General features: G+C 42.4%; 1 protein-coding gene and 1 long non-coding RNA gene across 12 annotated transcripts in view, besides 1 other annotated feature; one reads left to right on the top strand and one right to left on the bottom strand.

Moving 5' to 3' along the window:
• The window catches only part of ACTA2 (actin alpha 2, smooth muscle), a 56,264-nt gene extending 45,217 nt beyond the window's left edge, over window positions 1-11,047 (top strand). For 9 of the 11 annotated variants that reach the window (NM_001406467.1, NM_001320855.2, NM_001406462.1 and 6 more), the window contains 6 exons: window positions 2,214-2,324; window positions 4,252-4,336; window positions 4,731-4,892; window positions 6,423-6,614; window positions 7,879-8,060; window positions 10,755-11,047. In NM_001406467.1, coding sequence (NP_001393396.1) covers window positions 2,214-2,324; window positions 4,252-4,336; window positions 4,731-4,892; window positions 6,423-6,614; window positions 7,879-8,060; window positions 10,755-10,898 — 876 coding nt within the window. In that variant the 3' untranslated portion in view covers window positions 10,899-11,047. The remainder of the gene's footprint in view (window positions 1-2,213; window positions 2,325-4,251; window positions 4,337-4,730; window positions 4,893-6,422; window positions 6,615-7,878; window positions 8,061-10,754) is intronic. The other 2 variants (NM_001406471.1, NM_001406466.1) reach the window with 2 other exon arrangements.
• ACTA2-AS1 (ACTA2 antisense RNA 1) lies at window positions 6,147-13,437 on the bottom strand. The gene is made up of 5 exons (NR_125373.1): window positions 13,162-13,437; window positions 12,235-12,480; window positions 10,548-11,223; window positions 7,645-7,909; window positions 6,147-6,726 (listed from the first exon to the last, which is right to left on the bottom strand). It is a non-coding gene; the product is annotated as an ACTA2 antisense RNA 1 (long non-coding RNA).
• Window positions 13,747-13,846: an enhancer, noted in NCBI's record as "active region_3731". NCBI's record gives its function as "activates an Ori minimal core promoter by ATAC-STARR-seq in GM12878 lymphoblastoid cells {active_cell/tissue: GM12878}" and the evidence as "EXISTENCE:reporter gene assay evidence [ECO:0000049][PMID:35858748]".

Raw genomic sequence — 16,553 nt, 5'->3', positions numbered from 1 at the left:
TGTCTCTAAAGAAAAGGAAAAAAATGTCCTTGCCTATTAGGTTTTATTAACTAATTAAAGGATGATAGTTCTGTAGATGAGAAGAGTAGCCCTTTGCCACTGCAGGGAATTAATCATCTGTTGCTCACGTCAACTCTGTTGCCCTCCTAGGACAAGCAGTGCATGAGCAGCAGCTCAGAGAATGAAAACCCTCCTTTCATTTTCATCAGGGGCTGCATGGTTATCCCTCTCAGTGCAATATAGCTAAAGGGGCTTGAAATGCTGGGAGTAGTCTTAAACAGCCCATTCTTGAAAGGTTTTCATTAACTCACTCTAAACATCTAAATTAAAAATGTTTTTGTTTTCACTATAGTAAACAGGAGTGTAACATTGCAGGTTTGGTACATTTCTGAATGCCTCTCCACACACTGAAGCACAAGAGCCACTGAAAAAAGCTATATGATAAATATTTTAAAAATTATTTATCTGTGTTGCATTACATGAGGCCTTATCTCCCAGACACTTAATAAAAGAGCTAATGAGAAGAAGAGCTAAATTCTAAGATTTTGATGTTTGGTCATTAAACATTACAGACACCAGTGATCAGAGAAAAAAACAGAAGAAATAATGAGAAAGTGACATAAAAAATTTTAAATGCAGCAAGATATATCAGAATCACGATATCTGGCCTTTTATTTATCTATCGGCTCACTACTACTACTACGCACACAATTTATCACTTAAAAGAAAAATACATAATGTTGTTAGAATTTATCAGCAGTAATGCTCCAAGCTCTATCTTTCTACAAAAATTTCATATCAGTAGGTTTGCTTGAGGATTCTAGATTTGGTAAGATTGCAGTTTGCACAGAGAAAAAGATATCAATATCAATAGGAAAATATTCTTTTAGAATTTCTCCATGGAGCTGACAACATCTTAGAATGTATCGTCCTAGACAGAGACTATTGGAAGAAAAAACTTTCCTTATTTCTAAAATTTAAATTCAAAGTATCTTCTGGTGGGGACGAAGAGAGAGAGAGGAGAAAGGTTGCTTGCTGTGACTGGCAGGATTTTTTGAGCAGTCTGCTGCTTTCACTCCACTAAAGAAACAAAACTTTCAGAAGTTTCATTTCCCTTCTATAAACCACAAATCCAAAACAAAAGAAAGTGGAATAAGATAGTCTTTAAAGCTAATCTTGGTTTTGCTAATTTGTAAGCTTTCACCAGCAGTTCTTGTTTTGCTCTGTTTTGATTTTGAGTGAATCTCATATTCCTGGCTCTGGTGGAGAATTTTCGTGCTTTTAAAGATTAATTAATTTAGTCCTTTTTGCAATGGTTTGTTCTTTTCGGCATCTAGGAATTAAAGAAAGTGCTCAACCATAAATAAATGTAGTTATGTCCAAAGTACCTTCACATAGACACACTATACACAGGCGTGGGCCTTTTGGAAACACCTGAAGGCCAAATGTCTGACTGTGAGTGGAAGATCCAGAGTGTGCTGATAGAGGAAGCTTTTCTCATCCCTCGAGAGCAAAGAGGGTGATGGAGGCAAGAGTCAGAGAGCCCTGTTCTCTTCTTCATGTACACTGCAAAGGGCAACTTCTCTAGAAGCATTAAAAGTGTCAATTAGGTTTTCAAGTAAGCGTCATTTATTCATATATACATTCATTTGTCTTTTTATTTACAAAATTAAATCATTTTCCCATGAACATTAAAATGGGAAGAGAGAACAAAGAAAATAGAGTTGAATAATAATAACATTGATTCTGGACCAGACACTGGGCTGGACAATAACTCGAGGGTTACCTTATTTATTTACACAAAGACCCGATGAGGTACACACTAATTATTTTCATCTCCCTATTACCAATCATGAGACTGAAGCTGAGAAGGGTTAAAAACTTGCCTAAGCTCACACAACTAAGAAGTGTCCGAGCTGGGCTTTGAACCCAAGGTTTGATCAAGGGTTGTGCCCTTAACTGCCATACCATCCTGCCTCACAGATCTGGGTTAGGGATTCTGCTCAGTCACTTAGTAGATGTGAATCCTTTGGGAAGGTACTTACACACTTTGAGCTTCAGTCTCTGCATCTATAAAACCATGGACACATGCATGAGTACTTGTAGCATTTCCTTTGGTCTTGGTTTCAAGTAGCTTCTGGTCCCTTTTTGGGAAATGCAGGACCTCATGACAGCACATCATTGTGTTTCTCCTCTGTCCCCCAACTCACTAGATCTGGCACCACTCTTTCTACAATGAGCTTCGTGTTGCCCCTGAAGAGCATCCCACCCTGCTCACGGAGGCACCCCTGAACCCCAAGGCCAACCGGGAGAAAATGACTCAAGTAAGTATGCTACCCCAGCACACAACACTGTGGGGTCTGGGGAAACTTCTGTTAGAAGGAGGCTATGCAGCACAGCAGAGAGAAGGCCGGAGCTAGGAGTCCACCAACAGACTAACAGCCTTCAGTGAACTCAGGGATCCCAAAGGACAGGAACAGCTTGAAAGTACTTGCATCCTTCCTGCAGGGACCAGCCCTTTGCCTCCAAAAGCAATAGGAAATTTAAAAGATTTCACTGAGAAGGGGCCACGTTTAAGTTATAATGTCTAAGGAGAAGTCACTTCAAAATGCAGCATCACATACAATAGGAATTTGGGTTCCAGAGTCAGACATATCTAGGTTTGAAAACTGGATCTGCCACTTATCAGTTATGTGACCTTAAAGAACTCCGTTAATTTCTCAGAGCCTCAGTTTCCTTGTCTATAAGTTGGGAGTAATATTAATACTATCATTTTTCCAAGGATTGATGTGAACATTAATGAGGTGAAATGACAGATGTGTATCATGGTTCCTAATAAACATCCAAAATATAGTACTTACTATTGTCATTATTATTACTTGTTTGAAGCTAAAGACCTCACAATAGAATCCCATCCAGCCCACCAGACAGAGCTCTGAGTTTTCTAGTTTGGAAGAGCTATTAAATAACAACGTCTAGTGTCAATTCTATACTTGTTATGGTCAAGTACTGGGCTCAGCATTTTACATTCATTGTCTCTTTAAGTTCTAGCAATGTGAAGCAGGAACTATGATTATATTGACTACATAAATGAAGAAATTGAGGCTCAGATACATTAAGTAATTCTCCCAGGGTCACACAGCTAGAACTGGCAAAGCCTGGGATTGATCCACGATCTTCCAGCATTGAAGAATCATAAATGTAAATAACTGCAAGGCCTTTTCCTCAGAAGAGCTCCTGGTGCTTGCACCAACCCACTAGCACTTGTTCTCTACAGGGGAACATCTGTGGGCCTGGGAATCACTGCACGTCGCAAGAGATGTTGCTTCTGATGAATTATTGTTCCTGTCAGTGGTGTGAAGGCAAAAAAAAAAAAATGGTTGGAAATTATGGCTTGCTAGCAAATGATGTCAGACATTCTGGTTAATAGAGTAGGAAGGGTCTTACAGATGGAGAAATGAAGACCCACGGACATCTCCTGATGCACAAACTTCTCACAAGTGACCTGGAGGGGCTTGGTTCTAATCTTGTCCCTGGACTGCACCAACTGGGGCACTGACATTCTATGTGGTCCTCTATTACCATTGGGCTGGTCCTGTCTTCCAGGAACCAGGGCCTCTCCCACTGCAACCAGAATGGCCTCAGATTCTAGGGTTAGCATTGACCCAGTAACTACATAAAAAAGTGGAATAGATTAAATAGAACCTCAGACAAATCACAGAAATGGGGCTAAACCTAGCCAGCCTGAGCTTCAGATTTAAAAGTTCTCTTTCTTTATACCAGGGAAATCAAAACCTGGATGTTGTCTTCTCTTTTTCTTCTGGCTTTGACATAGTTAACAAGCCCTAGGATGTCTGCACTGGAAAAATGGGAGATCTCATTTAGTCCAAACTCCTCCTCTGTTAAGAGACCTGGAATAAAGCCACTATTAATCAACTATTAGTTTGGTGACTATTAGTCAAAGCCAGGACCAGAGCCAGAAGCTGGACTTTCCTTTCCCCTGGCCAAACCTTGTGTGCACACTGTTTCTTCCCCTCCCCACCCTGTCAGGCCATTGATGTGATGGCTCCCCATTCACACCTTCATTTCTCCTCTTTAACGTGACCAGGGCTGTTCTGAACCTCCTTACTTTGGCCTCCTCTGCCCAGAACAGGTCAGGCCCCTCTGCATCCATCAACCAGGTGTGCTCTCCTGACCATTCTTTGTCAGATGGGCACCTTCACTAACTCAGCTCTTTGGATTGCTTTGCAGATTATGTTTGAGACTTTCAATGTCCCAGCCATGTATGTGGCTATCCAGGCGGTGCTGTCTCTCTATGCCTCTGGACGCACAACTGGTAGGTGGCTGGGCGGGACAGCAAGCTGGTTGGAGCGCACTGCCAGAGATGGGATTGAATGGTCGTTAACACGTGGGGGTGACGGACTGGAGTTGAGTTAGAATGGACACGGCTGAACCCAGCCCTAAAAGATCTTCTTCTAGTGTTCAAAATAAGCCCTTGATCTCATATTTCTAGCAGAACTTTTTTCTACTGTTTTCCTCTTCCTGTTCTTTACTTTTTTTCATCTTCCCCGAGCCCTGTCCCACCTCACCTCTCCTATCACATGCCCTGTTTTCTCTTTTTAAATAAGAGGCTCGGAAATTCCCTCTCCCCCAAGGCTTCCCTCTACTTGTCCAGCAAGTAACCACATGCCAGCTGCCATGGTGACTTATCACGCCCAATTGTCTCCCAGGCATCGTGCTGGACTCTGGAGATGGTGTCACCCACAATGTCCCCATCTATGAGGGCTATGCCTTGCCCCATGCCATCATGCGTCTGGATCTGGCTGGCCGAGATCTCACTGACTACCTCATGAAGATCCTGACTGAGCGTGGCTATTCCTTCGTTACTACTGGTGAGGCCTGTGGGAGATAAGGGGGAGAGGGGAGCAGTGTGTTGCTCAGTAACTTCCAGGACCATCCTCACTATCCAAGGAGATGATGGGATGAAGTTTTGCAAATGGCAAGGCCTGGCTCTAATGCACAGAGCAAAGCACATCTTTCTTTGCTGTGTGAAGTTGCAAAATGATTACACTATTTCCTTGAGGAGAACAGTTATAGACACCCAGTGTTATGCATTAGTCAGTGTTGTATAATTGATCTTTTTTTAATCCCCTCCATTAGCAAATAGAAGAAGATTGTGCAGAGACTGAAGATGGCATGGTGTGGTGATTGGCAGGAGACATTGTGATAGGACTCGAGTCCCAACTCTGCTACTCAGTAGCTCTGTGAGCTTGGACAAGTTAACCAACCATAGTCTCTTTATTTGTAAAATGGGGATAATAATAGACCCTATATCACATGATTGTTATCAGTATTAAATGGAAGAACGCATGTGGAATACTTGACATAGAGTAAGCATTCAATAATTGTTAGCTATTAACAGTGATACTTATTAATAGCTAACACAGTGACATATGTGTATTCAGATTCTAAGCCGGTGCACCCAGTCCTCCCTTCACAAGAGGAAAGTGTCAGCATTGCCAGAAACATTGTATGTCCTCAGTGCTGGTGGCTCCAGCTACCTGTCCTCCCCTTAGCAATTTGGTATTGTCCAAACATTTAGGTTTCTGAACATGCCTGAGGCTTATTTTATGCTCCAAATTTGAGGCTTGAGACTTGAACCCTGCCAATGTTAAAGTCTCCACTTGCAATATGAAGTTGAATAATTGCATTCCTCCTCTGCTCCCTACAAAGAATCCCAAGATGCCTCTAAAAGGTTCCTAGAGCCTCAGATATAATTAATAGCCTAGAACTTCAGAGAGCAGAAGTCTGAAAGGTCTCTCCCTGCCCACTTCTTCCGTATCTCGTTCAGTATGCACCGCTGAAACCTTCTGGACTAGGCCTGGTCCTGAGACAGCACCACCTCTTTCCTGGAGGGTGAGAAATGTGCCAAAGGTTTAACCTGCTATCCACTGGCCCAGGCAACAGGATCTCAGACTTTTTGAAAATTGTGAGGCCCCTGAGGAGCTGATTCAGCATAAGATATCCTGGTTAACTGAAAATACAATATAACAAACTTTCTGTCATAAAATAATTATAACACAGAGTAGTTATCCTGCCCACCCACCCCAAAAAATGTTATGGTACAAAAGGATCCGCTACTGTGTGCCTTTCTCTAGCTAGCTCATTTTATTCTTGTTATGCATTTCCCAGACAATGCATGCTGAGGGCCTACTATGCATGAGACACTGTCCTAGGAACAGAGGTGGTTCCCTGGTGGCCCTACTACGTCATTATCATTGTGGATTTTGGATTGCAGAATATTGAACTGACACATTTTTTGATGGCACATGTCTTGAGGGAGAGACTGCAGTAGGGCAGGTGAATCTTTGCCACCTGTGCAGACCCTAATGTTTGCCACAATGTTTGTATCTGGTTGACAGCTGAGCGTGAGATTGTCCGGGACATCAAGGAGAAACTGTGTTATGTAGCTCTGGACTTTGAAAATGAGATGGCCACTGCCGCATCCTCATCCTCCCTTGAGAAGAGTTACGAGTTGCCTGATGGGCAAGTGATCACCATCGGAAATGAACGTTTCCGCTGCCCAGAGACCCTGTTCCAGCCATCCTTCATCGGTAGGCAACAAACGCCCTTTTCCTGGGAAGGGGAGTCATTGTCTTCTTCCATATCAAGCCAGCCTCCAGAACATGGAGACAAGTGACGGTTGCCCCAAGACCAAAAGCATTTCTAAACCAGAAAAAGGGAAAGTGCCACATTTTCAAGGCGAGAAGACATAATGAGGCCAGGAAAAAGGTTTTCTTCCTAAGAAAACACTATCTATGTTGCAGTTAAGCCCAAAGCATTCATGGTGTATGATGAAAGAATTAAATAATGCCTGTGCTTTGGAGACAGCGGAAAGGGTAGCAAGGGTGTGCTGAAGGCTGAGAATTTGGGAATGCTGGGGGAGAGAAAAATAGAAGAGCACTCAAAGTGAGTCTGTTCCTACATTCACATTGTCTTGGAGAGACAGGTTTGCATAGTTGTTTACAGAGGCAGGCTCTGAGAGGGGTGAGCCTGGGTTTCAGTCTTAGTTCTCTTGATCTTGGGAAAGTCACTTAACCTCCCAACTAGTCTCCTCATGTATAAAGCGGAGACTGTAATATTACTTATGTCCTAGGATGGCTGTGAGAATTACAGGAGATAGATAAAGAGCACTTAGCCCACTGCCTGGCAAAAGCAAGCATTCAATAATTATCAGATATCACTAGTAATTAATAATCAGGTAGTGCTATTGTTAACGTTATCATTACATCACAGCACTGCAGAAGATGAAAGGGCACCTAGAGGTTTTTTGAAAACACCTGCGTCAGAAATTAACAAAAGTCCAGACCCCCACCCCCACCCAAAAAAAATGTTAGCAAGATTGGAAAAATGAGCCTTTTCCAACAGGATAAAAAATAGAGTAAGTTTCCCTGATAATCCAGCCCCATTAGCTTTGGGGGCTGGGGCAGATGCAACGTAGCTGTTAAATGGAGACCTGGGAGAGCTCTGAAGAGTTGTTGCAACATTGGCTCAGCGTGGAAGCTTTGCAGGGAATTGGAAGGCTTCATCCCTTATTTAAACCACATGGAGTGAGTAGTGAGTCTATTAAAAAATCAGTGATACCTGTTGTAGCCCACACCTCAGGATGCTGCAGCAGGCCTTCCTCATTAGAAGGCAGGCAGGAAGACATAGAGCATAACAAGACCCTTTTGTCTCTCAGACAGGTGGTTCCTAGATTATTATGTCTTCCCAGCCTCAGTCCACTGCAAGATCATCCAGATGTTCAAGTCTGGTCTTCCATGTCTAGCCTGGGTTTTACTCTCCACTTAAGGACCATGGCCTGTGTCTCTTTTCCAGGGATGGAGTCTGCTGGCATCCATGAAACCACCTACAACAGCATCATGAAGTGTGATATTGACATCAGGAAGGACCTCTATGCTAACAATGTCCTATCAGGGGGCACCACTATGTACCCTGGCATTGCCGACCGAATGCAGAAGGAGATCACGGCCCTAGCACCCAGCACCATGAAGATCAAGGTACTGTTCAGTGACAGACCCAGTGGCAATGCCGCCAGCAGTGTCAGCCCTATAACCACAGATAAGAACTCTTCAGAGACTGTATTTTGGTGACATGCAATTGTGGGTTTTAGGGGTAGGTAATGGACACAAATCTCATATTTTACAGGATGTAAGTCAATCTAGTTCATAAGAAAAATTGAGTTACTTTATATAAAATTTGATCTCTATTTATCCTTGTCTGTCAGCTACTTTCAGTAGCTGCAGTCAAAGTCAACAGAGCTCCCCACATGCTCATCTCTCTTTAAAATATGCATTTTGTTGTTTTTCTCGACACAAAAATAGTGCATCATGCATGTAACACATTTTTTAAAAATACTGATGACCTAGACTTATTTCTGAAGAACTTCAAACACTGTAGATTTAGGAGGAGCTTATACTCTTCCTCCACTACTAACCTCAATCCTGTGGCCAAGAATTCAAATTTTATCCTCATTCCTCTGTCTAGCACATCTTTTGGTACAGGTGCTCAAAAGCACAGAATGACTCTAGGATGACCAAGCTCAGTCCCTGAGCCACCCAGGACCCCTGTATGTGGTGTGAATGTTGAGCCCTAGTGAAGGGAACTCGGGGATTAAATGGAGATAATTCTTTGGAGGCAAACTTAACCTGTGGCTGGGTCACTTCTCAAAGGTTATTATCACTCTCTGAAGTCAGAAGGCCACACTTGGGACCCTCTGACCCATGTCACAGGAAGTAGAGGGGCAATTCTAGTGCAGTTCACACACGTGGGTATTTAAACAAATTATCTCCTCTTTGCACTCCCTTCTGTTTTTAGAAGGAGTATGCAGCTAACACTAGAGAGTGTGCTAGACTGAAACATGCACACTTTCTCTCTCCATGATAGGCTCTGGCTAGTCCTGCCCTAAAAGACTTCAGCATGAGAGAAGAGAGACTGTTTTCCAACAGCGTTTGTGTTTCTTGGATGCCATTCTGATCAGCTCTTACCCCCCTTACTTCCACACAAGAGGGAGGTGAATGAAGCCAGTAGCTGGGCTCACTACTGAGTTGATCTCATGAGGGTCGATAACAGAAAGAGGCTATTGCTAGAGTTGGGCAGTTCCTAGTTCTCTAAACTTGGTTTCTTGAATAGAAATTAATGTGAAACTCTGGGCCCCGATGTAATGAGATAGTATAGAGAACCAAGAAAAACCTAGGACAATAAGATGATAACATTTGGCAAAAATGAAACTGGATGAGAGACCTATGGGAACTCCCATAGAATTTGTCATAGGCTGTTCTTGCGTTGCTATAAAGAAATACCTAAGACTTGGGTAATTTGTAAAGAAAAGAGGTTTAACTGGCTCACAGTTCAGCAGGCTGTACAGGAAGCATAGCTCTAGCATCAGCTTCTGGGGAGGCCTCAGTCTCAGAAAGCTTCGAATCATGGTGGAAGGCGAAGCAGGGGCAGACACCTCACATGGCAAAAGCAGGGGCAACAGAGAGGGCAGGGGTGGGGGGAGGGTGCCACACACTTTGAAATAACCAGATTTCATGTGAACTCGGAAGAAGAGCTCACTTATCACCAAGGAGATGTCCTAAGCCATTCATGAGAGATCCACCCACGTGATCCAAACACCTCCTACCAGGCCCCACCTCCAACACGGGGGATTACATCTCAACATGAGATTTGGAGGAGATATCCAAACTATACTAAATTCTTTACAACTTTTCTGAAAATCTAAAATTGTTCCAAAATAAAAAGGTTATTTTTAAAACCAAACCAAAACATAAAACCACCTGGGAGAACCCAGGTTTGAATATCAGATCTGACACTGATATAACCGGTGTTACCTGGGCCAGTTACTTAAACTTTCTCAGCCTCTGTTTCCTCATATGTAATATGGGAGTAATTTAAGACTTATTCTTCAAGATGTTTATGAGAATCAAATGAGATAATACATGTAAAATGCTTAGCATAGTGCCTGGCATATAATTACATGCTCAGTAAATATCAGTACTTTGTATTAAGAAGTAAATGCTCAGAAGATAAAGATTAAACTGGTTAGCCAGTTTTCACTGTTCTCTGTGCCTAAACCATTCATTTATTTAAGAAACATGAGCATGCCTTGCAGGTTAGGCCTGTGCACTGGGAAAGGCCAACCAGTGCAGCTTAAGAGGCACCTATTGCAAGGGAATGTCCCCAGCAGGGGACCCTGAGTTCCCCAATGTTAAACAGAGCATCTGGGTGAAAAGTGGTAGTTCACTTCACCACGTGGAAACACATTTGTATACTAAGTCCTAGCACAATTAAAACTTCTCCTTTGAATAGGCTAGGGTTTGTTTCTACAGAAAGTGTATCGTGTTGAATTCTGAGGCAGAGTTCATGGAAATCAGAGGCATTGCCAGGGTTCTTAAGTGGGGGCCATGGCTGGATTTGGAGCCAACTTTCAGTTTGCTCAATAATGTGGTCGAAGAGTTACAGGTGAGAAAAACGAATGTGCTTACTGAAGAATTTCTAAATCCATGGCTCCCTCTGGCGGTCCTGCCAAGAACATGACACAATTAGGACACAATTGGCATCTAACAGACAAGCCTGTGTCCCTGCTGAACAAGAAACTAGGCCATGGTAGAACATCCAGGCTCTGTCCTACCGCACTAACGACTGCACTAATGATGACATTAATGACCATTCTTTTTCATCTTGACTGACAGATCATTGCCCCTCCGGAGCGCAAATACTCTGTCTGGATCGGTGGCTCCATCCTGGCCTCTCTGTCCACCTTCCAGCAGATGTGGATCAGCAAACAGGAATACGATGAAGCCGGGCCTTCCATTGTCCACCGCAAATGCTTCTAAAACACTTTCCTGCTCCTCTCTGTCTCTAGCACACAACTGTGAATGTCCTGTGGAATTATGCCTTCAGTTCTTTTCCAAATCATTCCTAGCCAAAGCTCTGACTCGTTACCTATGTGTTTTTTAATAAATCTGAAATAGGCTACTGGTAACTTCTTGCGTTGGCCTCCGATCAATACTCGACTGATACCATTTGTTAGGTTGACCTCACCCGTTACAGGATGGCTCCCTCTAGTGGTCCAGCTGAGCACATGGCAATTAGGATGGATATGTTTCTCAGGCAAAGGGTAGAATCACATTACCTGAAGTGGGGAGCTGCACTTCGGTTCTGTAAAGAGGAATAATTTGAGAATACATTGGAGATTTTAAAAAATAACATGGATTAAAGTGTATCAATGGGATAATCTACAGTACCTCACAACTTGCAAAGTGATTATATTACTTTACACTCATAACCCCAGTACTGGTAACCTGATGGGTGAAAAGAAAATAATTACACACACACACACACGTATATATACACATATACACACATATATATGTATGTGTGTGTGTACATATATATATGTATGTGTGTATATATATATATGTGTGTGTGTGTGTGTGTGTGTGTATTAGAGATAAGGTCTCACTCTGTCACCCAGGCTGGAGTGCAATGATGTAATAATAGCTCATTGCAGCCTTGATGCAGCCTTGAACTTCTAGGCTCAAGCAATTCTCTCCTCTTGACTTTCCAAAATGCTGGAATTATAGGCATAAGCCGCTGTGCCTATATATCTTAAAAGTCATATCTTGTATATTAAAAGTCACACACACACATATAGATACATTTCCCATACATATATACATATATATGTGTGTGACTTTTAATATACAAGATATGACTTTTAATGCATATACTATGTATTAAACTTATATACATATATATACACATACATATATACATATAGAAACAGGTGGTCTGACTTTTATGTTTATTGAGGGAAACATGGATTTTTTAAAAAACATTGAGAAACACTGCCTTAAAATCTCACTACACATCTGGACCATCTGTTTCCCTTCTCTTGATCTATCTGTCTTTGAAAAGGATACTATGGATATATTCACGCCAGAAGGAATGAGAGAGAGAACAATACTTTCCAAGGACCATTAGCATCAATCATCAGGTAAGGGTTTTACACATATCATCTCTCAGCTGTTCTTCACAACTATCTGGGGAAGTATTATCAGCGCACTTTATAATTGAGGAGACAGAGATTGCTCTAGAAATGCAATGGGATAGGAGAGCTACCAACTTCCATTTGGCCTGAAAGGCACAAAGATATAAAAAAATACTGACCCTGCTGTTCAGGGTCTTAGCCTCAGAGCACTCCTTGCCCAGGCTGTTCACCATCCTCAGTTGCTCCCAAGCTGAGAGCTGCTTGCCCTCCAGTGCATAGTGTGTGTCGGAAGCCACTGGTTGTCCTGAGGAGTTAAGGTGGCTCTGTCTGTGGCAGCACCTCACTGCAGAGACCTCCAGGCCCAGGACTGAGTGTCTGTTTGGTCTAGAAAACCCGAACTCCCCTAGTCTTCTCTGGCCCTGTAACTTGCAGATAATTAGGATTAATACCACAAATAATAAGAGCTGGGATGTACTGGTGCCTGCCATGACCAGAGCCTGAATCAAGCTCTTTATATTAGGATCCCATTTTCTCCTGCAACAGCCCTGTGAATTTTGCCTGACTTTAAAAAAAAATAGAGATGGGATCTTGCCATGTTGCCCAGGCTGGTCTTGAACTCCTGGGCTCAAACGATCCTCCCACTTTTTGGCCTCCTAAAGTGCTGGGATTACATGCGTGAGGCACAGCACCTGGCCATTACTGCCTTTTTACAGAAGAGTAACTGAGGCTAGCAGCAGCCCAATGTCATGCTGCTGGCAGAAGTATCAGCTTGCTCCTTCTTGTGCTTGGTTTCCAATTCATGTTTTTAGCCATTAGGCCAGCATTTCCCAAAGAATAGGCTACACGGACCAACCTCATCGGAAGCTCATTTTAAATGGGTAGAGCCCTGGGTCACATCTAACACCCGCTGAGCTAGAATCTCTGGAGCTGAAGCTGGAAACCTGAACTTCAATCAGATTTCCCTGGTGATTCTTATGTACATCAAAATTTAAGAACCACTGGAATATGATCGAGGGAAATCTTCCAGCTGCAAATTCATGCTTGCCATGCAGGGGCACCTCATAGCCACTAGATTTAAACTTAAGGATTAGTGTGCAGATACTTGCCACCAGATCACTTTCATAATTGAGGCAGAAATCACCAACCATTGCTGTCATCTCTACAGGGTTTCCTTGGAGTAAAACTGGTCTGTTGCACTGCTGTACTTCATATTTACCACCAGGCGGCATGAGCTCCTAGTAAAGCAACATTCTTGGAACAGCCTCTCAGGCTGAAACAGCCATGCCCAGAGGCAAAAATCAGGCAAACCAGAACCACCCACTGAATACGCATTAGTGAAATTTTAGCTCCTTGTGAGCCACTCAACTGCAGTGCCTAAGCACCCTCCTCCCAGTCATCTATCAGTAATTCATCCCCTGACTCCATGAGATGCCCAGTGACTTAATAAAGGGCTGGGCTTTGCACAGGTGGCTGAGTCCCCTTCATGAGCGTCACACCAATCTCCAGAGGAGACAAAACCAGCAACATACAGGTTTGGCAGCCTTCTGAATCCTCTTCTCTCCTCTAACAATAGCAAACCAGACTCTCAAAGGAGGGGAACATCCTTCTATGACTATAAAATTTTCCTATGACAGGCTTTTGCAACTCTGGAGGACAGCATGGGTTTCTAATGACATTAATTCACATCATGCTGCCATTACTGTGAGCAGATGTGTGGGAAGAGGCATTATTTACTTAAAAATAATCCTCTGTTGTCTTGGGAGGCCGAGGCAGACAGATCACCTGAGGTCAGGAGTTCAAGACCAGCCTGGCCAACATGGTGAAACCCCATCTCTACTAAAAATACATAATTAGCCAAGCGTGGTGGCACGCACCTGTAATCCCAGCTACTCAGGCATCTGAGGCAGGAGAATTGCTTGAAACCCAGGGACAGGGGTTGCAGTGAGCCAAGATCGCATCATTGTACTCCAATCTGGGCAAAAAGGAGTGGAACTCCGCCTCAAAATAATAATAATAATAATAATAATAATAATCCTCTGTTGTTAATGTGGTATCATTTGTGTAGCTAGGAAATTCTCTTTAGAAGAATTTCTAACAGAACAGCTTGGAGAAGAACGTCTGACTGTAGTTAGGGAGGAGGCTGTCTGGACCAACACACACTTGCAGGCAACCAGAAGCCATTGCTGCAGCGCAGCTCAGTTTATTCAGAAAGAGACAGCCAAAAAAAAAAAAAAAAAAGAGAGAGGGAGAGAAAATGGGGCAGCCTGAGATAGGGTTCTTCCTTTTCAGAGTATGAAGTAATGTTTATTCCTGGGAGAGCAGAGTCAACTTAAGTAATGTCTGAAGAGCACTATGAGCTAGGACAGAGAGCAGTGTCAAGGAAATAGAACTAGGCAAGGTTCTGCCTGGATGGAACCTGCAGCCAAGTGAGGAAGATGGGCACTAAATAAGCAGTTGGGTACATTGTCAGGGGTTCAAAAGAAGAATTATATGGGGTACTGGCTTTTATAGCCATGGGCTCTAACTTGAGCCAGGAGCTCAGGAGAGGCTGCCTCCCTGAGAAGATAGTGCTTAAGCAGAAGCTTAAAGGGTAAGAATTGAGTAGACAAAAAAAAGGGCTGGGGGCTAGAAGGGGTTAAGGTTTGGGAAGGGGAAGTAGGACCTGCATGGGATGTGTTCCAAGCAGAGGCCCAGAGATGTAAAAGTGCTGCATACCTGGGAAAAAGAGAACCCCAAAGAACTGGACCACACACACAAGTGTGACCATGACTTCACTACAATTTTCCAAAGTAATATTCATAACATTTTTTCTATGAAAAAATCAGACACCAATTTCAAGCAATGGAAGCAATGTTGCATGAGAAGTATGGCATCTCTGGACCATCTGCTTTTCCTGAGCATTTCACCTTTCAGGTTAAATTATTGCTTTTCCTGAGCATTTCACCTTTCAGGTTAAATTATTCATCTCACATCTGGGAAATGAACATGCAAACATTGCCACCTCTCAGTCTAATTTACTCATGGAGGCTGTAGCTCTCCCAGAATGTCCTCCTTAGAGCAATTTCTAGCCCCTTCTTGGCTAAAGGGAATAAAAATGATTACTATTTGTCTGGGTTTGAAACAATGCTATCCTCAAGGAAAACTGATGATGGAACAGGCTTCCGTATCGTGAGGTTAATGACAGTTTTCCAGAGGCCTAAAATTCAGGGGTCCTTAAGCAGATTTCCTTATCCTTGGAGAAAAGTATGTGGTATTGCAGACACACCACATCAAAAGGTGTTCTTTTTATACTCTTCTTAGTTCTTGCCTTCTGTTTCTTTCCCTGCACATTTAGTTTTGAGCCTTAGTCCTCTGTCCCTTCATTGAATCAATTATTTTTCTTCCTTTAAGACCTCTCTGCATATGCCATAACCTGAAATTCCCTACAAAATGACCTAAAATCATGTAACTTCAGGCCTTCCTTTAAAAAAAAAAATGACATCACCTACTCAGGCAAAAATATATTAAACAAGTAAATTCTATTTTTCAAATTTAACATGAGCTCTTGCTCTTAAGACTTAAAAAAGTCCGTGATTTCAGAGAGATGCCTCAACATAGTATTCTTCCTTATGAATGCTTAAACCACTGACTTTGATGGAAAGCAAGAGTAGTATTCTAAAGTGCCATGACTAGTGCCTTTTGTTGGTTGCTCTCTCTTTGTATTTCTAATCCTACCCAGCTGAAACAGCTGACCTGACTATCCTTGATAAAAATAAATTCTCCCTCTAAACATGGTGCTAGTGACCTTGATAAAGAGTCAGGACTGGTGTCCCACAACACTAAGAGAGTGATTGGAGTGAGTGAATTCTGGAGGCCTCAGACATCTTCATCATCAACTTTATTTTACTACTGAAATTTGACTTTAGAGGAATTAAGCTGATCACATATTGCTCTGTCAAAAGGAGAATGAGATGCTACTTTACATTTACTAGGATGGCTGTAATAGGATGTAGAGAAATCAGATACTTTATATGTTGCTGTTCGGAATATAACATGGTACAGCTGTTGTGAAAAACAGTTTGGAGGTCTCTCAAAAACCTAAGCCTAGAGTTACCGATAACCCTGCAATTCCACTTCTAGGTGTAGATCCAAAAGAATTGAAACAGGTACTCAAACAAATGCATGTACATGCATGTTTATAGCACTACTACTCACAATAACCAAAAGGAAATGTCTTTTTGGTTATTGTGCCCATTAATGGATGAATAAACAAAATGTCATCAATATCCATCAATGGATGTCCATCAATGTCCATCAACGGATGAATAAACAAAATGTGGTATATACATAAATTTATATACATAATTCATCCATAAAGATGAATAAAGGACTGATACATACTACAACATGGATAAACCTTCAAAATGATACGTTAAGTGAAAGAAGCCAGACACAACAGCTCACATATTGTACAATTCTACTTGTATGAAATATCCAAAATAGATAGATCCATATAGAA

The sequence above is a fragment of the Homo sapiens genome, chromosome 10 (genome assembly GCF_000001405.40).
Source record: "Homo sapiens chromosome 10, GRCh38.p14 Primary Assembly".
In the NCBI taxonomy this organism is placed as follows: Eukaryota; Metazoa; Chordata; class Mammalia; order Primates; family Hominidae; genus Homo; species Homo sapiens.
This window is presented reverse-complemented; position numbering and strand designations above follow the sequence as displayed.